The 25542-nt window shown below is 52.9% G+C and overlaps 4 annotated features.

Moving 5' to 3' along the window:
• Nucleotides 2714-3214: an enhancer, noted in NCBI's record as "H3K4me1 hESC enhancer chr1:10920607-10921107 (GRCh37/hg19 assembly coordinates)". NCBI's record gives its function as "activates a minimal SCP1, AML or CMV promoter by ChIP-STARR-seq in naive H9 embryonic stem cells {active_cell/tissue: H9 hESC(naive)}" and the evidence as "EXISTENCE:reporter gene assay evidence [ECO:0000049][PMID:30033119]".
• Nucleotides 3594-4095: an enhancer, noted in NCBI's record as "H3K4me1 hESC enhancer chr1:10921487-10921988 (GRCh37/hg19 assembly coordinates)". NCBI's record gives its function as "activates a minimal SCP1, AML or CMV promoter by ChIP-STARR-seq in primed H9 embryonic stem cells {active_cell/tissue: H9 hESC(primed)}" and the evidence as "EXISTENCE:reporter gene assay evidence [ECO:0000049][PMID:30033119]".
• Nucleotides 9309-9538: a silencer, noted in NCBI's record as "silent region_254". NCBI's record gives its function as "represses an Ori minimal core promoter by ATAC-STARR-seq in GM12878 lymphoblastoid cells {active_cell/tissue: GM12878}" and the evidence as "EXISTENCE:reporter gene assay evidence [ECO:0000049][PMID:35858748]".
• Nucleotides 10028-10899: an enhancer, noted in NCBI's record as "H3K4me1 hESC enhancer chr1:10927921-10928792 (GRCh37/hg19 assembly coordinates)". NCBI's record gives its function as "activates a minimal SCP1, AML or CMV promoter by ChIP-STARR-seq in primed H9 embryonic stem cells {active_cell/tissue: H9 hESC(primed)}" and the evidence as "EXISTENCE:reporter gene assay evidence [ECO:0000049][PMID:30033119]".

Genomic DNA, 25542 nt, shown 5'->3' on the forward strand with positions numbered 1-25542 from the left:
ACTGCTCAGAATTTCTGAGAGGAGCTACTGGCTTCAGCCTGGCCCTCACTGTGGGCCTGGTGGGTGGAGCGGGCAGCTCCCTGGGGCCATGAAGGACCCACACCCGGGGACACAGGCTGGACCGGCTCAGAGACTTTCTGGCATGAGCCAGAGCCGGCTGCCAACCTCTTGGCTCTCCTTGGCACTGGGGCCAGTGAGGCCACGCATTTGAGATCTGGGTGACCTGGTTCCCAGTGGGCCACAGCAGTGGGACCAGGGCCGCAGGAGGAGGCATCACCAAAGTTTCTTCATCGGCCACTTCCTTGGCCACTATCATTCACTCTCCAGGAGGACGCGACCCTCTCAAAACCTGCTTAAAACGCTGGGTTCTGGCTCCCTGGTCAAGGGGAAGGGAAGTAACCCTGATAAGACCCTTAGAAGGAACAGCCAAGCTGCCCCAGGGACCCTTTAGCTGCCAGGCGGTGGTGGGCCTCAGGTGCCTTGCGTGGCCTGGTGGAGACCAAGAGGGAAGTGCCTGGGAGGGGACACTGGGGACAGCGGCCTGGAAAGCACCGTCCTTTCCACACCCATGCCCAGAGGGCGTCCTGGCTCCCCATCAGCCCTGAATCCACAGGGAGGTAGGAAAGGTCCATGCCAGTGACACAACGGGCATGGGGCCCTAGGGAGGGCAGGGCAGGTGAGTGACAGGTGTCATTCCTGAGGTCCAAGACAGAGGGAACATGGGTCCAGGAGACCACCCCTGCCTGAATTCTGATCCACATGCCCTCACCCCCCACTTTTCTGCATGGATGTCAATCAATCACTCCTTCAGTGGGAAAATATGTATTGAGCACCTACTATGTGCCAGGCCTTTTCCAGGCACTATGATAAACCCACAGTCTGGAGAGGGGGCAGACAATAAGCAAGAAAACAAATATCTCATCACAAGCTGGAATTAGTGAAGGAAGCAGGAGCATGTTGCAGGGCGAAGGGAGAGGGAAAGGGAGAAGGAGCCTCCTCTGATGGGAGGTGGCAGAAGACCTCCGAGGAAGGAACATTGGTGCCTCAAGACCCTCTCTCCATCTTGGAAGCACCTCCCTTCCAGGTAGGAAGTCAGGAGTCCCACACCCCAGCTCATCACAGATTGTGGGCAGACCCACCTTAGTTCAATAGTCATAAAAACTTCAGCCATCACTTAACTCGTTGAAGACCTATCTATGCTAAGTGCTCTGCAACTTGCTTCTGTGTTTTATCTCTTTTAAAGCGTAGAACAACCTAGAGGCAGGTACGAGTAAAAAAAGACTTTTGCCCAGGCATGGTGGTTCACGCCTGTAATCCCAGCACTTTGGGAGGTTGAGGTGGTTGGATCACCTGAGGTCAGGAGTTCGAGACCAGCCTGACCAACACGGTGAAACCCCATCTCCACTAAAAATACAAAAGCTAACTGGGAGTGGTGTCGGGCGCCTGTAATCCCAGCTACTTGGGAGGCTGAGGCAGGAGAACTGCTTGAACCCGTGAGGTGGAGGTTGCAGTGGGCCAAGATCGTACCATTGCACTCCAGCCTGGGTGACAGAGCAAGACTTTGTCTCAAAAAAAAAAAAAAAAAAGAAAAAAGACTTTTGGCCAGGCACAGTGGCTCATGCCTGTGATCCCAGCACTTTGAGAGACTGAGGTGGGTGAATCGCTTGAGTCCAGGAGTTCGAGACTAGCATGGGCAACATGGTGAAACCCTGTCTCTACAAAAATTTCAAAAAAAAAAAAAAAGACATGATGGTGCTCCTCTGTGCTCTTAGCTACTTGGAGGCTGAGGTGGGACGATTGCTTGAGCCCAGGACGGGGAGGTTGCAGTGAGTGGAGATCACGCCACTGCACTCCAGCCCGGGCAACAGAGCAAGACCTTGTCAAAAAAAAAACAAAAACTTTTAAAGATGAGGAAACTGAGGCTCAGAGAGGTTCAGTAGCTTGTTTGATGCTACACAGGTTGTAGGAGGCAGGACCAGGATTTGAGTGCCCAGTGCAACATCCATGTGCCCCAGTTCTCCTTCTCTTTGAGAGCCATCTCTGGTCCCAGAAAAGAGGGGAGCAGCCTGCACTCTGGGGTGGGACAGGAGGAGTTGGAGGAAGAAAGGGGTTTTTCAGGCCCTTTCCAGGGCATCTGTCTCCAGTAAAGCCCCCTAGACTGGGACTCCCAGCCTCTCTCATCTTCTCTACTACGGACTGCGGAGCACACAAGCCCTCAATGCCCCCATCTGGCTTGCAACACCAGTCCCCCAAACCCAGCCCACACTCCCCCACCCTCAGGTACTCTAGGTACTGAGATAGGCCCCATCCCAGGCCCCCTGTTGCCATTGTCTTCTCCAGACAACCATTAGCATATGTGCAATGCAATTACCCTTCAGCTCTCCTGGCCCGGGGCTGACACGGAGGTCCCCATCCCCAGTGATTTGGGGGGAAGGGGGGTTATTACAACTCACAAAACCTTAAATTAAGAATGAATAAGAGAAACGTTGCATGCCACTTCTGAAAGGCTGCCAGCCCAGGCTGGGGTGGGTGACGGGTGTATTATACTCTGCGCCGACGGAGGAGCTGATGGATGTGCCCGTAGTGGGGAGGACGGAATAGCAGCTGATACCTGTCCGCTCCAGGCCCAGCGCTTTTCCAAAGCGGCTGGGTGTGGAGAGTTCATCCCCAGCTATCCCCTTACGGCTGCAGGGTTTGCAAAAGGCAGAAGTAGGTCTTGAGCTAGACTTGGGTGGGGAAGGGTAGGTGTGATCAGAGAGCCTCCCTGGAATAGTCAAAACAGAGCTTGCAGGTTGCAGAGGAGTAAACCCTTCAACCCCCAGGTACAGAGCAAGGGGGCAGAGGTCCAGGTCGAGAGACCAGTGTGTGCCGAGGTCCTGGAGTGGAGGGTCACGGCGCACGGCAGGTAAAGAGCTGGAAAGGCATGGAAGCTGACCCTGGAGGTGGAGAGGCGGGAGGAGGGTGTGACTCTGGGGAACTGGGCAGGAGTCACTCTCTGGCGAGCCTTCTTGTCCAGCGTCCGGATTCAGGATTTGGTCCTAGGAATGCCAAGAGGAGGAGTGTGCAATGTGACTGTGCTGTGTTTAAACAAGGTCCTCTGGCCACGGTGCAGGGAACAGACTGGAGTTGGCAGAGACTCTGTGGACACTCCAGGAGGCCCATGCGGTGGGCTGGGAGAGACAGTGGCAGCCTGGGTAAAGGAGATGGGGGTGAAGGAGAAAAGCAGGCAGACCAGAGAGGGTCAGTTACGGGAAGACTGATCAGTCGTGGTGATGGTGGCGGGGGAGAAGAGGTGGCGGCAGGGATGAAAGCCGGATTTGGGTCATGTGCAGCTTGGGAGATGGTGGAGCCACTTATCTAGATAAGGAAATGGAATGGGGGCACAGATTTGAGGTGCAGGAAGAGAAAAGGTTTAGGTGTGGATATGAATGTCATCACCTTCCTAAGCTATGGTTTCCTCTGTCCGTAAAGTCCGATGCCACACGTGGCTCACACAGAGCTGCGGAGCAGGCCTCTGACACTCAGTTCTGCTGTTCCCCAGTGTGAGTGTGAGTGTGCGTCCACGGGCTTCTCCTTCGACCACCATGAGTGTCAGTTTCCTCAGGGGGCAGGGCCAGTGTGAGGCTCAGAGGAGAACCAACAAGGGAAGCACGTTACAGCACGAAAACATTAGGCAAGTAAGTGCCTATGTGCACCTTCCCTGCTCACTCTGCGACCCTAAGCAAGACCCTTATCCTCTCTGGGCCTCAGTTTCCCCAGCTTGAGTCTGGAGTCACAGGCTGTCTCAAGAGGGGCCTTCTAGCTTTAATGCCCTCTGTCAGGGACAAGACCTCAGGACTCAGGCCCACGGCCAGCCCCCAGGAAAGGGGCATCCCAGCCCAGGCCTGGGGGCTCTCGGGAAGGTGTAGCCTGTCCACTGCTGCTTGGCTGAGCTGGAAGGTGCCACCCATCAGCTTGCCAGCGAGAACCTGGCTTCCTCCTCCATCAGAGCTTAGGGTTGAAGGTGGGTGTTCTGATGCCTTTCTCCTCCAAGTCCCACCCCCTGGTCTGTATCTCAGGCTATGCCCTGTGCCTCCCACAGCTCTGGGGAATCAGAGCAGGTCAGGCCAGTGTCCCCTGGCCCTGGGATCTGGTGCGGTCCTGGGCCCCTCCCACCTTGCACACATCTCTCAGGCCTGCCAGTCGGCAAGGAGCTGGGAGAAGCGGCGGCTTTGAGGTCAATGGGGATGAGGTCACAGGCAGGGGAAAGATGGGGCTGACAGCCCACCACACCCACAGGGGCAGGGTGTCAAGATGGGTCCCTCCAAAGCCCTGTGACCCTGGGATTCAGGGGAGTCGGGGGAAGGGAGGAGAGAGCAGCTCCCTTCCCCCAGCCAGGAGCCCTGTGCTGCTGCTCATATATCTGTCCCTGGATAATGTATATCCAGCTTATGGAAAATATTCATAATGCTCCTTACACCAAACTGGCCCCCTTCCATAGTGCGTGATCTAAAATTAAATCCATTTCAAATATACAGTAGATCGAGTCAAGCTAATATAAATGAAACATGATTAATAGGCAGAACACTGTCCTCCTTAGCAGGGCTGAGGAGGCAGAGCTGGGGCCACTCTAGCTCTCCCTCCCCACAGCCCCCAGCCCCCCAAGGCCTCCAAGCCCCTATCCTTATCCCAAACTCCCTTCCGTCCGCAGCTGAAATGTGGACCCTTCCTGGAATTCACCTAAATTGTGAAGGGCAAGTGTCAGGAAGCACAGCAGTTTAGAGAGCAGACGTGAGTGTCAGGACAGAGCTGAGACCTAAAGCTGGTGACCTCACCTCTCTGAGCCTCGGTGTTCTCATCTATACAATGGGACGTTAACGACCCCTGCCTAGTAGGGATGTTGTGAGTGTTAAATGCAAGAATAATGCAGGTTAAGCACAGAGGACCAGTCACCCGAGAAGGAGACCCTCATCCCCCAAGTCTGCCCCCTCTCCCCCCTCCCCAGCCCCCAGTGGGAGTGGGGATCTGTGCCCCCACTGGCCCCCTGATCAGCGGGCAGAACAAGGGCCAGCCAGAATTCCTGCCATTGCAGGGATATGCTTGGTGGGTTATTTTTAGTGCGTTGGCAAGTGACTCTGTTACTGACCAAATGTTCCCACATTGGGGACAGAATCTGCTAAGAGGGCACTTGTATGCTGAACCGAGGCAGGAGGGGGTTTGCAGCCTGTCTCGGGGGCTCCTCGTGTGTCCTTTTTGCACACACATTTGAACTCGGGCCCCGTGGCCACTGAGGGAGGGAGAGCAGGAAGAACTTGGGGGCTCTGGGAGGCATGTGCGCCGCGTCTGGCCTGTCTCCTTCCCGGCTGGGCACCTGGGCGCCTCACACGAAAGATGCTCCTTAGCGTGGAACGAGAAACAATGTCACCCTGGGAGAGTGCTCCACGTTCCCCCCTTCAGGAAAGACCCAGGCTTCCACTGGCTGAATGTGTGCACGTGTGTGTGTGTGTGTGTGTGTGTGTGCGCCTGTCTCCTCATTGCTCCCCCAGTGATGTCTTGCTGCAGGTACACGAGCCCCTCACTGTCCACCCGGGTCCCCAGCCTGATCCCTGGATCTTTCTGCTCACACCATCAAGGATGTTCTTCTGAACTCCTGGTGTACTTGCCCCGACCTGGGCACCCCACCTTTTGTGCAGGCCCACGAGAGTCGGGGGGGTGTCTGCCATCATCCATCCAACAACAGCCCTCTGCTGTTTCCTTTTCTCCCGGAGGGGTTGAAAGAGGGAGAGCCCCTCGGGGTGGGAGGGGGTGCTGTTGGCTTTTTCCCTGTCATTGGCCATTTGCTGCCTGCTTCACCAGACGTGTTTTGAGCATGTTTGCATAAAGTGGATGCAGGCTGCAATTCCGTGATGAATTCTATGAATACTAATCTGCTACTACCCTTGACCTTGGGGTCACCGAAAGATCAAAACCAAACCATTTAATATTTTCCTTTTGCAGATCAATAGAAGCATAAATTCCCCCTCAATGACAAGTATAATTTCAAACAGATCTATAGAACGCATGCATGCATTTCCAGCCAGGGACACTCACTGCCTGCTTTGCCTTTTGGGGAGCAGACGAGGAGTTTCTTGCCTTTTCTACCATTGAATTTCTTTTTGCCTTTTTTTATGGCACTGAAATGCTATTTTCAGCAGCTGCTGTCATATAAATATCTCTTGTTTTTCTTCTCCTCTTTCCCTCCTGGTGAAAAGGGCAGGGGACCTATTGAAAATTCCGCTTTATCTCTTTCAGTCGGGTTCAAGTACAGGTCGAATAATCGATCCCTCCTCCTTTTCTCTTTTAAGTTTCCTGTCGTTCTTTTGGCCAGATCAGCAGCGGAGAGAAATCAGGAGGGCAGCTCGCTTTATGGAGATCTTCTCAGAGTGTCTATATTGCTGTATTTGTGTGCGTGTTTGCGTGTGCGCGTGTGGGATCTGCAGTTGTGTGTGTGTGTGTGTGTGTGTGTGTACCTTTGTGCACCTGACGATAAACACTTGCTCCAGTTCAAACTCTCGCCCAGAACTCGAGGAGAGAGAAAACAGAAAATCACCAAAGAGAAAAAGTTAAGGGCTGGAGCGGGCATTGTTAACCCTTGCAGAGCTTCCAGACAGAGCTGGGGTGGGGCTGGGAACATCTCCTAGCTGGACCTGCTGTCCTTCCTCTGAGAACCACGTTCACCTCTGTGTGCATCTCCCCTAAGCTCCTGAGTCTTTTCTTGAATACAGCTCCAAGAAGGGAAAAAAAGATGCAAAAAGAAGAGAGAGAGAGAAAAAAACAAAATAGGAGGCAGAGTGGGGGGAAAGCAAAAGAAAAGAGAAAAGAGAATTAAACCATTAATCTGCCTGGATTTTCCACTTCATAGAGTAATCAGTTTGGAAGAGACTGAAATAAAGTGGAATGTATGATTGCCATCACCTCCTCCCTCCAGTCCCCATTTCTTATTTACAGAAACACAAGGAGCTAGGAAGGCGTCCCCTCTGCCCTACACAAAGGCCCCCAGTGTCCGCTCCAGGAGGGGACAAGGACCCCAGCCCTCAGCCAGAGCTGCCCGCTGCCTCAACACCCATGTGGCATCCTCTCTGAGCTGGAGGTGCAAAGCCAAGATGATTTAATTTATCGAAAGGACAAGGATGTCGTGTAGCAGATTTAATCATCGGAGAGTTTAAAAAAAAAATAAGGACCGGGCTAATGTCGTAATTTACATTTCAGGATAATAAAGAGAGAAAGACAGAAAAGGAAGGGGCCTGTAGCCTGCAAGGGGAGCAGGGAGGGGAGAAGGACCAGGGGGCCGAGGGAGCCCAATAGATTTGCCTGAAACACCAATAAATTTAAAAACAAACCCAGAAAGCTAAAGACAGCCCCTGGAAAGTGCTGGGAAAATGGACCATCGATTTTAGACTTGATCTGCATTTCGTATTTTAATAATGCTCTCTCTGTCTTTCCTTTTCTCTCTCTCCCTCTCTCCCTCTCTCTCTCTTTTGCAAAATATAAAAGCTGATCTGATAAATATTAATTTGAACCATCATAATGTATTTGAAAATTCCAGCTAAAATGTCACCACATGGAACATTAATGTAATATTTCAAGGCCCTGAGAGCAATACTCATATTGATTGCATTTATTTCACTCTAGGGAGGAGAGATAATTCTTCAATGTGGGACACATCTGGGAGCCAAGGAGGCAGAGGCTGAGGGGAGAAATGCGAAATTATATATGGTCATAAAAAATACAAAACAGAAAATCCTCCCCAAAACTCTCTCCTCACCCATGGTGCCCCGCACCCAAACTTGCCATTTTCATTTCCCAGAGTAGCCTGGGGCCCGCGGGAAAGGCAGAAGCCCAGGGCCCTCCGGGACCGCGGTTGCGGGATTGAGAGCGGAGCAGCCTCTCCCAGGGCCCCACTGTGTAAGCCTGCCTTGGCCAGGACAGACAGACAGACAGACAGACAGACAGACAGACAGACAGAGGGGCTGCCCACTGGAGCCTCCAGCTCGCTGGGTGAAAGTTTGTGAATGCCCAAGAGCTGTGAGGTCCTGGGAATGGGGAGAGAAGAAGGAAAGGAGGGGAGGGGAGAGAAGAGAGGAGAGGAGACAGCTGAGAGAAAAAGGAAAGAAAGAAAAGAAGAGGAAAGATACCAGGACCCAAGGGAGAGGAGGGGAGAGGAAAGGAGAGAGGCAAGCAGGAGTGAGGGAGAGAGAGGGGAGAGGAACGGAACAAGGAGAGAGAGAGTGAGAAGGAGAGAGGGGACATGAATCAGGAGAGAAGGAGGAAGGAAGAGTGAGCCGGGAGGGGAGAGGACAGGAGAGGCGGAGGCGGGGTGGGGGGCTCGGGCTGGGCCGTCTGGAGTCCCAGCTCCTCTCACTGTCATTAAGGATATTGATGTGCTCAGGCGTCAATGAGTCTTTGTACAAGTGAAAGGAAATCCGATGCTTGTGACCCTGAGCCCACGCCCTCCACCTGCCCCCCAACCTGCCCCCCCACCTGCCCCCCCACCAGCCCCGGCCCTGGAGCTGAGGGCTGGGAGGCCGAGGGACCAAGCCCCCCACCAGGGGCTGAGCTGCTCAGACTCCAGGATCCCAAGTTTCCCCAGCCCAGCGCCCCGTGCAGGAGTGGGGAGGGGGGGCACCTTGAACCTGACCCTTCTGATGTCCAGTGCCCAGGGCCCCAGAGCTTACTGGCTGCTGTAACCAGAAGAAGGCTGGGCAGGAACCCCATCTCAGGGCCTCAGCCCGCAGCAGGGTCTCCCCAAGACCCTCCTCCTTGCTTCTCAGGATGTGTGTAGGTTTTGGGGTGCTGACTTTTACAGCACCTTTAGAAGGCCAGGGGCCGGGCAGAGAGAAACTCCAGTGGCCCAGGGACTGGCCAAGGTCAGGCCCCTCTTTGCCAGTAGTGTCTCTGCACAAACGTCACCTCCCTGGCCATCCGAACAGCCCCAGCCGAGTTTTATTTTCTGCAGAGCGCTCGCCTGGAATTATCTTCCTTGTCTGTTTACATGCTTTGGATCGGCATCCCACCCCCGCAACCTTTGAATGTAAGTTTGAGAACGATGGGGCCGCGCCTACCTTGCTCCCCATCACATCCCCCGCCCCTCACGCTGAGCCAATGCTCCCTCTGCCCCAGCTGACTCGATGGAGGACGGACAGACGGACGCTGCAGCCTCCGCCCTCCGCTCGGCCAGCCCCCCGCCTGAGCCCGCTTCGAGGCCGGGTGACCCAGCCTCGCCCCCACCCCGGGACCCCTCCCAACCCCCGCCGCCCCCGCAGCCGCTCGAGGCTGCGCGCCCCCGCCTCCCCGGATCCGTCACTCGCGGAGCTGCCACAATATTGTGAAGGCTCCGCGCTCCCGCTCCGCGGCGCAGCCCGCAGCCCGCGCGGGGGCCGTGAGGGAGGCGCGGGCGGGCGGGCGCCGGCGATGAATAATGCATGACCAAGGCGCCCCCTACCGGCGGCCGCGGGCGGCGCGGGGACGGCCCCGCCGCGCCCGAACCCGGCCGGACCCAGGACCCGCACGTGTCCCTGCCCACCCGGGAGGGAGCTCCTGCCTCTATCCCCGCCTCAACCCCGACCCGGCCAGGCCCTCCTCCCCCACCCTCCACGTCAGGGGAGCAGCCTCCTACTCACGCCAAGACCGAGGAATGAGTTTGGGGAGGCGGGGGAGGCTGCACAGAGCCCAAGCCAGAGCCCCTTCTTGTGCTCCCGGGTTCGCGGTGCAGTGGGGACCAGGACCCCCCCATTCCGTCTCACCCTCACCCCAGGGCTTCTGGACCAGGACTTGCAGCCTCAGAGAAGGACAGGCTCGGAAGGACAGAGCAGAGAAGGAGATTTCATTCGTTTATAAAAATGAGTACAAACAATTTCATAAGAGTTTCCAAGTTTCTGCAGAATATTTACAACGTTGAGATATGAAGGCTTTTTTTTTTAAGTTCAAATGAAATACGGGAAAGCCCACTGTGTATAGATGGGTCTGTGTGGTTTTAGAATAAGGGTCCGGGAAGTGTCTTCCTGGGGTCTTCTTGGTGGGAGGATTGGATCTTCTTGGCTGCAGACGATCTGCTTGGGTGGTAGAGGACACGGTGGGGGGAGCGATGACCAAGAGCAGGCCCCCGCCGGGCTTGGAGTGTCCCCTAAGATGCCTGTGTTCTCTGGGGATCAGCCTGCACGCAGTCGCCTGTTCTTCAAGCCTGCCAGTCCTGCTAACAGGCAGGTAATGAGGAGAGCAGAGGCCTCTTTCAGGCAGCTGCTTTAGCTCCCAATCACGCAGGCCCCTGGGGAGCTGGGCCAGCCTCTCGGCCTCATGGCCTCTCCTCACTGAGAACAGATTCTAATGACACCCCCCTTCCATCCCCCGTGGTTCCTGCTGTGCCCTGACTCCCTGCCCAGCCTTAATAAGCCAGAAGGCAGAAACAACCATCACAGGGGCTGGGGACCCAGGGCCATTTGTTGAGCATCTGCTGAGATGCTGGCTCGTGTTGAGATCTCTCGTCCCAGCAACACTCCACACATTCAGATTGCAAGCCCCATATTACAGATGAGGAAAGCAAGGCCCAGAGAGGTGCGGCCATGGGCCAAAGATCACACAGCTGCTCAGAGATGAGCCAAGAGGCGTGGAGCTGGGCAGAGGAACTCCATCCCCCCACCCAGACGCTGCTTTGTGTCCCGGACCCCATGTCCAGGAGATCAGATTCAAACCTTGCGCTGGGCTACAAGCCCTCCCCATTGGAGCAGCAGTTGGTCTGCGTCACTAAAAATGAGTTGCAAACTCAATTGCCCTGGGCCTAGACTGGCAAGGCAAATGCATGAAGTGGGCCACACATGCAAACACGTGGTTCCCACAAGAGTTTCCCAAATCGTTTGGCTCTTAAGGAAACAACGGTTTAAGGTGATGATATCTGACAACCATTAGCAACCTTTGCCCTGGAATCTTGCTCCTTCAGGCGAGGCCTGGATTCCAGCCCCTATGTGCCTTTTGCTTGGCTCTGTTACCTTGACCAAGGAGTCTTACCTCTCTGTTCCTTCATCTGTAAACTGGAAATAAAAACTCTACCTGTGTCCCAGGGGGGTGCATGGGCCAGAAGAGAGGAGGGATGTGTAGAGTCCCGCAGGACGGCCCAAGATAATTCTGTCTGCTAAGATAATTCTTGTTAGTAAGTTGGGGGTCTCACCCCTCCTTTATTTGGGCGTGATCCCCAAAGAAAACGGTAAGAGAGAGGGGAGGCAAAATGCAGGAAGCCGTGTCACAGGCCAGTTCCTGTGTGGGTGGCCGGTCCTCAGCTCACCTGGGGACCCTGCAGAGCCTGCGGATCTCCGCTCCAGACTGTCCCAAGAGGTGTTGGGAGCGGGGAGGAGGTACTTATTTATCCACTAACTGTCATCTGTCATTGGTTGAAAGTCACAGGGGGCCAAGCTTGCTCCTATGGCCAGAGAGATGTCCTTGGGGAACTTGAGTTGGAGTGACGGGAACTGTCAGTAGAAGCTGCAGATGCCCTCTGGGTAGACCAAAGGATATGATGGGGGCCCAGTGCCCACTCGGGTGGTCTCACGCCTGCCAGCTACACTTGTCATCAGCAGTGCCCACCTTGGCTGTACAGGCTCTGGAGCCAGCATTGGGCCAGATTCAGCCCCAGCTCTCTTAAAGGGGAGGGAGGATGCTCACTTTTCCGTAGAATGCGTGAAATGAGAGCTGGGGGAGACAGGTGGGCTCCTTGCCTTTTAGGAGCCAGACACAGGAGTATTCAGTTCAGCCTGGAGGCTCAGAAGCCTTCCTGGAGGAGATGACATTTTCCCAGCAGAACTCTGAGCTGAAACTCAGTTCTCTGTGCTGGGGCCTAGAGGGACCTCACCCCCCCAACTGTCCCTTGTCACCAAAGCTGCTTCTGGCCGTGGTAACTAATGTCACACTGCTACGGCTGGAGTGGGGAGGTGTCTCTGCCTCTCCCATCATCCTGGACTCCAGGACAGCTGTCCTCCAATCCAGACTCTGTCCTGCCCCTGGTGCTCCTGGGTGCAGGGTAGACTCTTTTTCTTGAGAGGGGGTTAGGGAGGAGAGAGGGTAGTTCTGAGCCTAGGACCTGAGGGGCTACCTGAGGTTAGCCAGCAAAGTTTTCAGAACTTTAAACAAGCCTGGGGAGCTTGTTTAAAATATAGACACAGATCCCACTCAGATCTCTATGCCCAGAGCATCCAGGCAGGGATTGGAAGTTCTGCATTTTTAAAGCAAGCATCCAGGGCCTCCTCATGCAGTTGGTGGATTTGGGTTGGGGACCCATTCTCCTGCTCTGTGCTGAGCTACTAGTCATCTCTCCCCACCTCGTGGAAATCACCACCACAGACTTTCTATGGTTGTGAGCTCCTGGGGCAACCCCTCCTTGGCCATCCCTGTATAGTCCCTCCTTAAACACCCCTTCTCACTGGGAGCTAGGGCCAAGCAAAGAGGGTAGTGGGGAGGACAGAACCTCCCCAGGGATCAACCTCTGAGAGCTCCACTCTGCAAAGACCCTCCCACCTCTGTTCCCTGGAGAGCATGGGGGCTCCTCCTCCACTGAATCTATGACCTCCCATTCATTCATGTGCATGGATCAAATTTTGGAAATGCAATTAATTACCTGTTGTTGTATCTGCTTGAATTATTGTCATGTTTTCTATGCACTTTATACAACTTAATAAACAGTTGAGGAAACAAGATCTTGGTGGGACCAAGGCTCAGGAGAAGCTGAGCCCTTTCCATCATCATTCATGATCAAATCCATTCATTCTTTCTGTCGTTTGCTCATTCATTCATTCATCCAGTCAGTCATTGATTCATTCACTCAGTCCTTCATTCATTTGGATATTCATTTACTCATTCATTCATTCACTTATCCAGGGAATACTTGTTAGCATAGTCACGTGACAAGCTCCAGGACAGGTGCCAGGAAGCAGTGGTAAATAAAACGACAAGGTCCTTGCCTTAGAAGAGCTGACAATCTGGTGGAGAGACAGACAATAAATACATGCAATGGTTATAAAAAAGAGCTGGGAAAGTCAGGGAGGACTTCTTGGAGGAGGCAACATTTAAATCCACTCCCTGATTTATTCATTTCTTTATTCATCCATTTAGGCAGAGCAGACTCTGTTCCTGGAGAGGGCAAGAGATGGATGGCCCAGTGCCGAGGAGCCAAGACTCAAGGAAAGAGTCAGCCAGCAACCAAATTATTATAACGCAATGAGGAAACATGGTGGGGAGGAAGGAACCAAGACAGATGAGAGGGCAGAGGCTGGGGAAATGGCTGGGGGCGGGGGTTTCTTGGGAGGAGGCACTGAGCAGGTCTTCTGGGACCTATAGAAGGTGAGTGCTCTGAGCCTACAGAGGACAGTTCCGGGTCATGTTGCAGCCTTTTTTCTTTTCTTTTCTTTTCTTTTTTCTGAGACGGAGTCTCGATCTATTGCCCAGGCTGGAGCGCAGTGGCACAATCTTGGCTCACTGCAAGCTCCGCCTCCCGGATTCACGCCATTCTCCTATCTCAGCCTCCCGAGTAGCTGGGACTACAGGCACCTGCCACCATGCCTGGCTAATTTTTTTGTATTTTTATTAGAGACAGGGTTTCACTGTGTTAGCCAGGATGGTCTTGATCTCCTGACCTCGTGATCTGCCCTCCTCAGCCTCCCAAAGTGCTGGGATTACGGGCCTGAGCCACCGTGCCCAGCCTTTTCTTTTCTTTTTCTTTTTTTCTTTTTTTTTTTTTTTTTTGTGATGCAGAGTCTCACTCTGTCACCCAGGCTGGAATGCAATGCCGTGATCTCGGTTCACTACAGCTTCCACCTCCTGGGATCAAAAGATTCTCCTGCCTCAGCCTCCCAAGTAGCTGGGATTACAGGCATGCGCCACCACACCTGGCTAATTTTTGTATTTTTAGTAGAGACGGGGTTTCACCACGTTGACCATGGCTGGTTTTGAACTCCTGACCTCAGTTTGTCCACCCTCCTTGGCTTCCCAAAGTGCTGGGATTACAGGCATGAGCCACCACGCCCGGCCATGTACCAGCTTCTTCAAAGGGACCAGCGAGACCCTGTTATAGTGTTGGGCACAGCAGTCGTGGCATGGAAAAGGAGGAGGAGGAGGTCTGATGACTAAGGCCTCCTGGGTCCCAGTCCCCCTGAGCTGACTCTGATTCTTGGCTTGGAGTCAGAGGGGGCTTGGTAAGGCTGGGCCTTGGAGAAGAAGCAGAAGTTTATCAGTCAGAGGAGGACACTCCAAGACCAGCTCCGCCATATGCAAAGGCCTAAATGCAGGAGGGAGCTGGCACACTTGGGGAGCGGGAAAGGCCCAGCATTGTGGCAGAAGATGGTGCCTTAGGCCCCAGAGGTGGAAGATGAGGTAGCTGGATCCCAGGCAGCCATGGGGCAGCACTGAGGAGGGGCCTGAGCAAAGTCCTGAGATCAACTGGGAGCTATGGATGGTCTGCAAGCTGCGGAAGCACCTGCCAGAAGTGGGTATCTCATGTTTGTTTATAAATGTGTTTGGGGATATAACAATGAGCTAGCCATGGCCTCTGCAGTCAAATCACCAGCCATAACTCCAAGGGGAAAACAGTCAGAGCCCCAGGCCAGGGCAAGATCGGGTGGTAAGAGCCATCAGGATGACCCCTCCAGGTGGCCAGGAGTCCAGAGGAGAGGATTAGGCTTGGGAAAGAAAAATTCAAAGCCAGTAACACCCTAGTGTTTACCAGGTCCTTCCTCCTCGGCAGGGGCTTCCCATTCATCACCCCATTAATAATAGTAATCGTGGGAGCAGCCGCTGCCTAATAACTTAACACTTACTTTGTGCCAGCTTCTTTCTGTTCCAGGTGTTTTTACCCATATTAATTGCTTTAATCTTCACAACAACCCTATGAGGTGGGTACTATGATCACTGTCCCCATTTGACAGATAAGGACATGGAGGCTCAGAAGCTGAGTGGCCTCTCCAGGGAATAAGTGGCTGAACCAGAATACTCACCGAGATCTTCCTAATTCCACGGTCCATGCTGGCTTCATTTTGCCCCACACTCCATCAAGGGAGGGGCTGGGGCAGGGGTGTGGGGCATGGGCCCAGGGTCCCTGTGAGGAGCTGCAACCTGGAGTGCTCCTGTCCCCGTCCCCTCCCCTCAGGCTGCCTCGGGCTGCGTTCCTCCTCTGCTGATTGAGGCTGGTGTTTTATGAACCCAGAACCGCAGCAAGATTCTCCTATTAATTTATTGGTATTGCTAATTAAACATCATATTCGCAAATGTAAATTTCCTAATGGCCTCCCTTCCATTTCTGAAGTTTCCTAAAAGAGCCTTCTTGTTATGGTTGTCAATTGAAACCAATTACATCTCACCAGATGGGTGGGCTGCAGCTGGCTCAGGGGTCACTGGGTCTGGAGGGGATCAGGGGCCCCTGGACGGGGTCTGGCTGGGGCCCTCTTTGACCTCAGGGGAGAATAGGAACAGGGGAACGTTGGGGAAGCGAAGTAGAGTAAGCCCAGCCCCAAGCTCTTGGGTGTCAGCCTCCTTCTTCTCGCTGATTGGGTGACAGCCTCCTTCTTCTCCCTGATTGGGTGTCAGCCTCCTTCTTCTCCCTGATTGGGTGTCAGCCTTCTTCTTCTCCCTGACATGCCCCCAGTCTGGTTGCTGGCCTGGGCCTGTGGCTGTTTGCAACGCTATGTCAAGGAGGCCAGGGCTAGGATGAGGAGGCAGCGTGGAGGAGAGAATACTAGAATGAGCAAATGTCAGTGCTTAGAGGGACCTTAGAGATTTTCCAGTCTAACCCCCCATTTGAAACATGGAGAAACTAAGGCACAGTGGAGGAAGTGACTTGCCCAGGGCTGCAGAGTCAATCACTACAGGAGCTGGGACCTAAACAGAGATCTGCTTCTGATCCCTTTGAAAATCTGATGAAGCCAGGAGCCATGGCTGATGCCTATAATCCTGGCACTTTGGGAGGCCAGGGTGGGCAGATCACTTGAGGTCAGGAGTTTGAGACCAGCCTGACCAACATGGTGAAACCCCATCTCTACTAAAAATACAAAAATTAGCCAAGCATGGTAGCCCACACCTGTAATCCCAGCTACTCAGGAGGCTGAGAGAGGAAAATCACTTGAACCTGGGAGGCGGAGGTTGCAGTGAGCCGAGATCGTGGCACTGCACTCCAGGCTGGGTGACAGAGCGAGACCCCATCTAAAAAAAAACAAAGAAAAAGAAAATTTGATGAGCTGTACCCCCTACTCCAGACAAATGTGTTCCCTGCAGGAATTGCATAATTGCAGGGGCACCACTCTACACCATGGCAGCCCCCACCCCAATTCGGTCATTGCGTGGTGTTTGAAAGCAACAGCTCTTGGATCAGGGAAAACCACTTTTGAATCCCACATGCAGCAAGTCCTCCGCGTCTTGGGACCTCAGTCTCCTCATCTGTACAGTGAGGACAACAGTCTCTCTCTCCCAGGGCTGCTTAGAGATTATTTGGCAAAGCGTGTGAGTGAGTGCTCCATCACAAGTGGCCAGTATTGGGCTGGGCCTCATGGTGTCAGAGACCAGCCTCCTAACGCAGTGGGGCGGGGAACTCTGGCCAGTCCTGGCCAGGTAGCCAGGTGGGACCCAGGGAGGTTGGGATAGGGTGAGGCCACCCAGACCTGGGACTTGGCCTCATCTTTGGAATAATGGTCACCATTTCCTCAGCACAGTGCTGAGACTGAGACATCACATGCGTGGTCTCCACAATCCTCCCCAGCCCAGTTACAGATGGGGAAGCGGAGGCCTTGGGGGTTAGTTAGTGACTTGCCTGGCCTGAGGTTCCCCAGGGGAAGGACTGTCTGACTCCAGGGTCTGAGTTGGCACCTGCTCTGTTCTGCCATTACTGAGTACCAGCTTGAGACGTGAGAGCAAATGTGGACCATCTGCCGGGAGTTCAAGCTCCCACTCTGTGGCCTCTTTGCTGGGAGACCTTGAGCATGTCAGGTCTGAGTAGTCAGGTCCCATGTGAGACACATCAGAGGGGAGTGCAGGCTGCTGCTGGCCCCCCGCCACCAGAATGCACACTGATGCCGGCATTGCCGGTTCTGCTCTGATGACAGTGGGCCCGGTGTCCCCATCCCACATCCCTAAGCCCAGCCTTCAGGGAGCAGGGCAAGAAAGGGAACCTGCTGGGTAAACTGAGTCAGAACATTGGCAAGGACTTTGACGATGCGGAAGACCTTCCCTGTGCTCTTGTCCCTGGTACATCTGGGGACGGCTGGAAGTGGAGCTGGCAGGGAAGGGGTGAGAGGTGACAGACACTACCCAGATACCAGGGAGCGTCCAGCCCATGTGCCTTTGTGGTAGCCCACGGGGAGAAGGGCCTCAGAAGATCACCTCCTCCGGCCCCGGCCCTCCAAGTAGGGTCACACATCTGAAGGACGCTCCCAGCCCCTCTTCCTCCTGCCTCAAGAAGCCTGTACTTTCCAAGTTGAAGACTTGTCCTTCAGGGACCCCCGTGGCCCACTCCGCTCGTGTGTCATTATCTTGAGGGAGCCGGTGGGTAATCAGAGTGTCCTGGTTGCTGCTTGGGAATCTGCATTAGGGAAAACTTTAAAAATACACTCTATCGTTGTTTACTATTCACAGCAATGACACGGGGCTGCTCCTCAGCCCATCGTCCTGGGCTTGCTATGTGCTGGGGCCTGAGCGGCCGCACCAAGAGCCCTGCATGGAGTCTGGGCTGGGCTTGAGGCATGGGATGAGGCCGGGGGGGTATCCAGACTTTCTCTTTGTTGTGTTTGTTTGTTTGTTTGTTTTTCTTTGAGACAGGGGCTTGCTCCAGGCTGTAGTGCGGTGGTGTTATCACGGCTCACTGCAGCCTCGATCTCCGAGACTCAAGCCATCCTCCTACCTCAGCCTCCCAAGTAGCTGGGACCACAGGCGTTCACCACCACACCCGGCTAATTTTCAAAATTTTTTGCAGGCTGGGCACGGTGGCTCACGCCTGTAATCCCAGCACTTTGGGAGGCTGAGGCGGGCAAATCGCCTGAGGTCTGGAGTTCAAGACAACACTGACCAACATGGAGAAACTCCGTCTCTACTAAAAATACAAAGTTAGCCAGGCATGGTGGTGCATGCTTATAATCCCAACTACTTGGGAGGCTGAGGCAGGAGAATCACTTGAACCCTGGAGGCGGAGGTTGCGGTAAACTGAGATTGCGCCATTGCACTCCAGCCTGGGCAACAAGAGTGAAATTCCATCTCAAAAAAAAAAAAAAAAAACTGTAGAGATGGGGTTTCTCCATGTTGCCCAGGCTGTGCCCAGACTTTAAACTTCTTTTTTATTGTGGTAACATACACAGAACATAAAATTTACCAGTGTAAACCATTTTAAAGTGTACATTTCAGTGGCATTGAGTACACTGGCAATGTTATGCAACTATCTAATTCCAGAACTTTTTCATCACCCCAAAAGGAAACCTCATACCCATTAAGCGATCACTCCCCATTTTCCCATCCCCCGCATCCCTGACAGCCACTAATCTACTTTCTGTCTCCACGGATTTGCCTATTTTGAATATTTCATATAAATGGAATCATCCGATATGCGGTCTTTCGTTTCTGGCCTCTGCCTTTCAGCTTCATGGTTTCAGGGTTCGTCCGGGTTGTGGCATGGATCCACTCCATCCCTTGTTCTGCGTGGCTGAAGAGTATTCCGTTGCATGGATGGACCACATTTTGTTTATCCAGCCTCCCACTGATGGATATTCTGGTTGTATCCTCCTCTTGGCTGTTGTGAACAGCACTGCTGTGAGGTGTCCAGATTTCGAGCATGTGGTTATCCAGGCTCCAGGCAGGGAGATGTCTAGATTCTGGTGCACAGATATCAAATAGTAGGTGTAAAGACACCCAGATATGCTGGGTATGACAATGATCAGCTTGATGCCCTCCTTAGGTAGGGGGGCTCCCATAGGCCCTTCCTCAGGTCCCAGTGCTGAGTGGGGGAATTGTTTTGTTGCCAAGGCTGGTCTCAAACTCCTGGTTTCTTTTTTTTTTTGAGACGAAGTCTCGCTCTGTCACCCAGGCTGGAGTGCAATGGTACGATCTCGGCTCCCTGCAACCTCTGCCTCCCATGTTCAAGTGATTCTCCCACCTCAGCCTCCTGAGTAGCTGGGACTACAGGTGCCTGCCACCATGCCCGGCTAATTTTTTGTATTTTTAGTAGAGGCGGGGATTCACCATGTTGGCCAGGCTGGTCTTGAACTCCTGACCTCAAAAGATCCTCCTGCCTCGGCCTCCCGAAGTGCTGGGATTACAGGTGTGAGCCACTGGGCCTGGCCAGTGAAGGCTTCTTGAGGCAGAAGGAGGAGGGGCTGGGAGTGCCCTTAGATGTGTGACCTTGCCTGGAGGGTGGGGGCTGGAGGAAGTGACCTTCTGAGGACCCTGCTCACCATGGGCTACCATAAAGGCGCAGGGCAGAACCTCTGTGCATAGATCATAGAGGACAGAACATCAGAGAGAGGCCAGGCTTTGCTGCTGTTCCATTCAAGTGCCCACCCAGGGGTGTTTTAGAGATGGGGAAACAGGCCAGGGAAAAGAAGTGACCTCGTCATAAGCGGCGGCATCACCAATGCCTCAATAGGTACCGTTGCCCGGCGCTTCCCATGTGCTTGGGAGGGTGGGCACTAGAGCATCCTTCAGCCACGCAACATAGTGAGGGGCGCTGTATTGTTATCCCCATTGTACAGATGAGATCATGAAGGCCCAGAGAAGTGAATTCGTTGCATAAAATGTAGGAGAGGAACAGATATTCTCAGCTGTCTCTAAAAGGAACCAGAGGTTTTCCTGCTAGCTATGCACCACTGTGGCCTGGGACAACTGTCCTCAAGGCCAGCACTGAGTCATCTTCTACCAGGGGGTTTTAGCACCCCTGCAACCTTCTGCTGGGATCGCCATCCCTCAGGCCACCCCCAAGCCAGAGGCCGGACAACTTGGGGAGGTGACATAGATTGTGGCAAGAGCCCAGATGAGGGTACAAATCCCTACTCTGCTCCTTAGTAACTAACTTCTTTTATGTTCCTGGGCCTCAGCTGTGCCCACCTGGCAAATGAGGAGTCTTGCCAACACCCCCTGCAGAGGGTTGCTTTAAGAGTCACTTGAGTTGATGCATCTACGATGCTTACACAGAGCGTGGCACACAGAAAGTGATCCTAGAATGTAGCTCAAGTGAACTCACGTGACCTCCACTCATGGCCTCACGCTGGCCTCCCACCAGACCCTGGGTTCAGAGGAGCTGGGTTGCCTGACAGACAGGAGACTGGGGAGCCTGGTGCCGCCCCCTGGGATCTGTAGCTACAAAGAACAGTGCTCACAGGGTCCCTGGGATAATCGGAGAGGACGCCACCTTAATTCCACCTCCATCAGACCTCCGCCAGAAGACACGACCCTTTCACCTCATCAATATTCAAGAGCTTAACAAAAAAAGCTATAACTAGGGAAGTCAGAAATAATGGAATGCAGTATTGATTATTTTATGGTGCGATTAGGGGTAATTACATCTCTCAAATTTTATTTTAATGTTACTTTCTACTACTTTTAGCCTTTTAAAATTATCCCAAACATCCCCATTTAATGGAACACCCGTGCCTTCAATTTCAATGTGAAATACTTTTTTTCTGCTAAAGTGTGACCTTAATATATTTGAAAACATAAATTACACTATGTATAAGCCATAAAAAATGAATGATGAATTTAATTCTGGTGAAGCGTGAGGGAACGGGGAGGCAGGCGGGCGGAGGCGCTGTTTATCCAGTGCGGAGGGGACAGTCAGAGGCAGGAGGGGGCAGCCAAGTCAGAAGGGGTGCCTGACCTTCAGGGGCACTGGGAACAGGGCTCAGAGCTCTGGAGGACACAGGCCAGGGAGGGATCAGAGGCTGCACCTGCCCCATCGCCCTCCCTCCCTGTTGTCAAGTGAGCTCAGGCTAGTTCCTCCCTAGGAAATGAGTTCCAAAGCATGCAAGGGGCATAGGCTAGCTTGCACCTCCCAGCCTAACTCTGCCTGTAATTGGTAGTGTGGTGTGGTTGCTAATGCATCGTGGCTCCATTTCAGGGGTTCCATTTTGCAGATGTGCAAACTAAGGCTGAAGGGACTCACCTAAAGTAGCTGGGCAAATAAGTGCTGCAGTGCTGGGAGCCGGCTGCAGACCCAGAATGTGGGACTCTCAGCCCAAGAGCTCCCGCTGTCAAAAAGAAGAGCCTGGGCTGGGCGAAGTGGCTTATGCCTGTAATCTCAGTACTTTGGGAGGCCCAGGCAGGCAGATCACTCGAGCCCAGGAGTTCAAGACCAACCTGGGCAACACGGCGAGACCTCATCTCTATTAAAAAAAAACAAAAAACAAAAATTAGCCGGGCATGCTAGAGCACGCCTGTGGTCCCAACTCCTCTAGAGGCTGAAGTGCAAGGATCAGCTGAGTCTAGGGAGGTCGAGGCTACAGTGAGCAGCGATTGCACCACTGCAATCAGCCTGGGCAACAGAGTGAGACTGTCTCAAAAAACAAAACAGGCTGGATGCAGTAGCTCACGCCTGTAATCCCAGCACTTTGGGAGGCCGAGGTTGGTGGATCATGAGGTTAGGAGTTCGAGACCAGCCTGGCCAACATGGTGAAACCCTGTCTCTGCTTAAAAATATATATATACAAAAATTAGCTGGGTGTGGTGGTGCACGCCTGTAATCCCAGCTACTTAGGAGGCTGAGGCAGGAGAATCGCTTGAACCCAGGAGGTGGAGGTTGCAGTGAGCTGAGATCGTGCCATTGCATTCCAGCTTCGGCAACAGAGCGAGACTCCACCTCAAACAAACAAACAAACAAACAAACAAAAACAAGAGCCTGTTGTAACTACCTGTGTCACAAGTGGACGTGACCGTGCCCTTGCGGACATCAGGGCAGCAAGCAGAGTAGTTAGGAACACGGACTCTGGGGACATGGAGCCCTGGGTTTGAAACCTGGCCACCTTCTAGGAGTGCCAGGAGGACTCTCTAGCACTGTAAAGCCCTGAGCAGGTTGTATTGGTTTCTCCCTGGCTTGCCGCACCCCTTGCCCGGGGTGTGTGTTGGGGGTGAGGTTGGGGGTTGAGGTCCCCGGGATGTTGGTTTACATAATGTGGCTGAGACCTTTTCTGAGCCCTCAGGACATGGCCTCCATACCTTCTGGCCTTCCCTGATTTCTGCCCTCTCCTCCTTTTCTTTTCCTCTCAGGTGACTGGCAGCTCATTATTGGGGACACTGCTGCCCCTTGGCATCATGAGCCCTGGAAGGGCAGGAGCCACATCTCCTTGTTCATTGCGGCGCCTCCAGCACCTGAGCATCATAGGAGCTGGAGAATATGATGTAAGTGAAACGCGCTCTGCAACCGTGACCTCGAAGCGGCTCATTCCAATGGTCTCAGCCTCTCAGCAGCCTTTGTGGCTGAGGGCCTCTCCCTCCTCCTAGATGCTCTCTTATCTTGGTTTCCTAGACTGCAGGCTCCTGCCTTTCCTCTGACTCCCCTGGCTGCTCCTTTTTGCCTCCTTTGCTGCCCTTCTTCCCCTTCTTCACCTTGGAGAGCTCATCCTGGGGGCCTCTCCTCTACTGTACTCACCCACAGGGTGACCATCCATCCTGCTCATAATAGCTTTTTTTTTTTTTTGAGACAGGGTCTCACTTTGTCACCCAGGCTGGAGTGCAGTGGCATGATCATGGCTCACTGTAGCCTCCACCTCCCGGGCTAAAGCGATCCCCCTGTTTCAGCCTCCTGAGTGGCTGGGACCACAAGCATGTACCACCACACCCGGCTAATGTTTTAATTTTTTGTAGAGACAGGGTGTTGCCATGTTGCCCCAGCTGGTCTTGAACTCCTGGAGTCAAGTGATCCTCCCACCTTGGCCTCCCAAAGTGCTGGGATTACAAGTGTGAGCCACCACACTCAGCCCTGCTATAGCTTTAACCACCATCTAGGCCAGTTGCTGTGCAATAAAAACAGAATGCAAACCTCCACGCAATTTAAAATTTTTTTGGTAGTCACATTTTTGAAAAGAGAAATGAATTCAAATACTCTGACCGAGTACAATATATCCAAAATATTATCGTTTCAACTTGTGATCAATATATAAAATCACTAAGGAGCCATTTTGCTTTTTTTCATCCTAAGCCTTTGAAATCTGACTTGTATTTTACATCTGACGGCACATCTCAATCAGTCTAGCGGCAGTTCAAGAGCTTGGTAACCACCCGTGGCTGGCAGCTGCTGTATTGAGCGGCAACAGAATCTATCTTGACCATTCTATTGGCGTCATCTTCAGCCCAGCTCCGTCTTCTCAGATCTGGAGGCACGTGTACTCACTCCTACTCCGCATCTCCTCTTGGCAGTCTAATAGGCATCTCAGACGCCAACCTCCAAAGCTGAGCTCCTGATCTTTCCTCCACCACCCACCCCCCCATCCAATTTCCATGATTGCTGCTCTAGATTCAAAATACACCCAGAGGCTGTGCACGGTGGCTCATGCCTGTAATCCCAGCACCTTGGGAGGCCCAGGCGGGTGGATCTCCTGAGGTCAGGAGTTCAAGACCAGCCTGGCCAACATGGTGAAACCCTGTCTCCACTAAAAATACAAAAGTTAGCTCAGAGTGGTGACAGGTGCCTGTAATTCCAGCTACGCAGGAGGCTGACGCAGGAGAATCACTTGAACCCGGGAAGTGGAGGTTGCAGTGAGCCAGGATTGCCCCATTGCATTCCAGCCTGGGCGACAAGAGTGAAACTCTGACTCAAACAAACAAACAAACAAAAAACCCAAAATACATGCAGAATGCGACCACTTCCCACCTCCTCCACTGCTGCCGCTATGGCCCACGCCACCAACACCTCCCCTCTGGATACCTGCAATCGCCTCCTCCCTGGTCTCTCCACGTCCACTCTTGCCCTTGCCCCTATAATCTGTGCTCCACCCAGATCCCAGAGTGGTCCAGTTAAAGTCTAAACTGATTGCTGCACTGGGCACCGGTGAGGTGGGTCACGCCTGTAAACCACCTTACAGGCCGAGATGGGTGGATCACTTGAGGCCAAGAGTTCGAGACCAGCCTGGCCAACATGGTGAAAACACCCAACCCCTCCACTCCATCTGTACTAAACTACAAAAATTAGCCAGGCATGGTGGTGAGGGCCTGTAATCCCAGGTATTCAGGTGGCTGAGATACCAGAATTGCTTGAACCCAGGAGGCAAAGGTTGCAGTGAGCTGAGATTGCACCATTGCACTCCAGTGTGGGCGACAGAGGTAAGCCTGCCTCAAAATAAATAAATAAATAGGCTCCTGTCACACCTCTGCTCACAACCCTCCAATACCTTCCATGTCCCTTAGCATGAAAGTTCAAGTCCACATATTAGAGCTTAAAAAATAGTAGCCCAGAAAAACAGACGTGTTCCTGCCTCCGGGCCTTTGCACTGTCTGTTCTGGCCTTTCCCACAGCTATCTACAAGGTCTTCCTTATAAACATTGCCATTTCTCTCCCCACATTCCTGCCCCCTCTTTTATTTCTCTCTGCAGCACTCATAACTTTCTAATATATTACATCATTTATGTATTTGTTGTTGTTGATGATTTTTATGGGAGACTCACTACCGCCCCACTCCATGAGGTCAGAGTTTTTTAAATTTTTTAATTTTTATTTATTTATTTATTTTGAGACAGAGTCTCGCTCTGTCGCCAGGCTGGAGTGCGGTGGCGCGGTCTTGGCTCACTGCAACCTCTGACTCCCAGGTTCCAACGATTCTCCTGCCTCAGCCTCCAGAGTAGCTGAGATTACGGGCATGTGCCACCACACCCAGCTAATTTTTGTATTTTTAGTAGAGACGGGGTTTCACCATTTTGGCCAGGATGGTCTTGATCTCCTGACGTCGTGATCCACCCGCCTTGGCTTCCCAAAGTGCTGGGATTACAGGCATGAGCCACAGCGCCTGGCAAGGTCAGAAATTTTTTATGCTTTTGTCTGTTTCATTCGCTGTCCCACCCCAGTGTCCACATGGATGATGCTTGGCAGATGTTATGCGTTCAAACATACATGATGGACAAATGAAAAAATCAGTCCCCTGTAAATGGATAGCCATTTGGACCAAGACCATTTATGAAATTCTGCTTATTTGAAATGTCACCTTTATCATAAACTAATCTTTCATGTAAACATGGACTAGTTCCCATCCATTGATCAATTTATCTAATCTCATTCTAATACTGCACTGTTTGGATTATTATGAGTCTACAGTGTTTTGCCAACTGTTAGGGCTCTTCTCCTTCAAAAAATTGTTTTCAATATTATTATGTATTTTCTTCTCTCTTTTTTTTTTTTTTTTTTGACACTGAGTGTCTCAGTGGTTCGATCTTAGCTCACCACAACCTCTGCCTCCCGGGTTCAAGCAATTCTCATGCCTCAGCCTCCTGAGTAGCTGGGATTACAGGCACCCACCACCATATCTGGCTAATTTTTGTATTTTTAGTAGAGACGGGGTTTCGCTGTGTTGGCCAGGCTGGTCTCAAACTCCTGAC

The sequence above is a fragment of the Homo sapiens genome, chromosome 1 (assembly GCF_000001405.40).
Source record: "Homo sapiens chromosome 1, GRCh38.p14 Primary Assembly".
Classification (NCBI taxonomy): domain Eukaryota; kingdom Metazoa; phylum Chordata; class Mammalia; order Primates; family Hominidae; genus Homo; species Homo sapiens.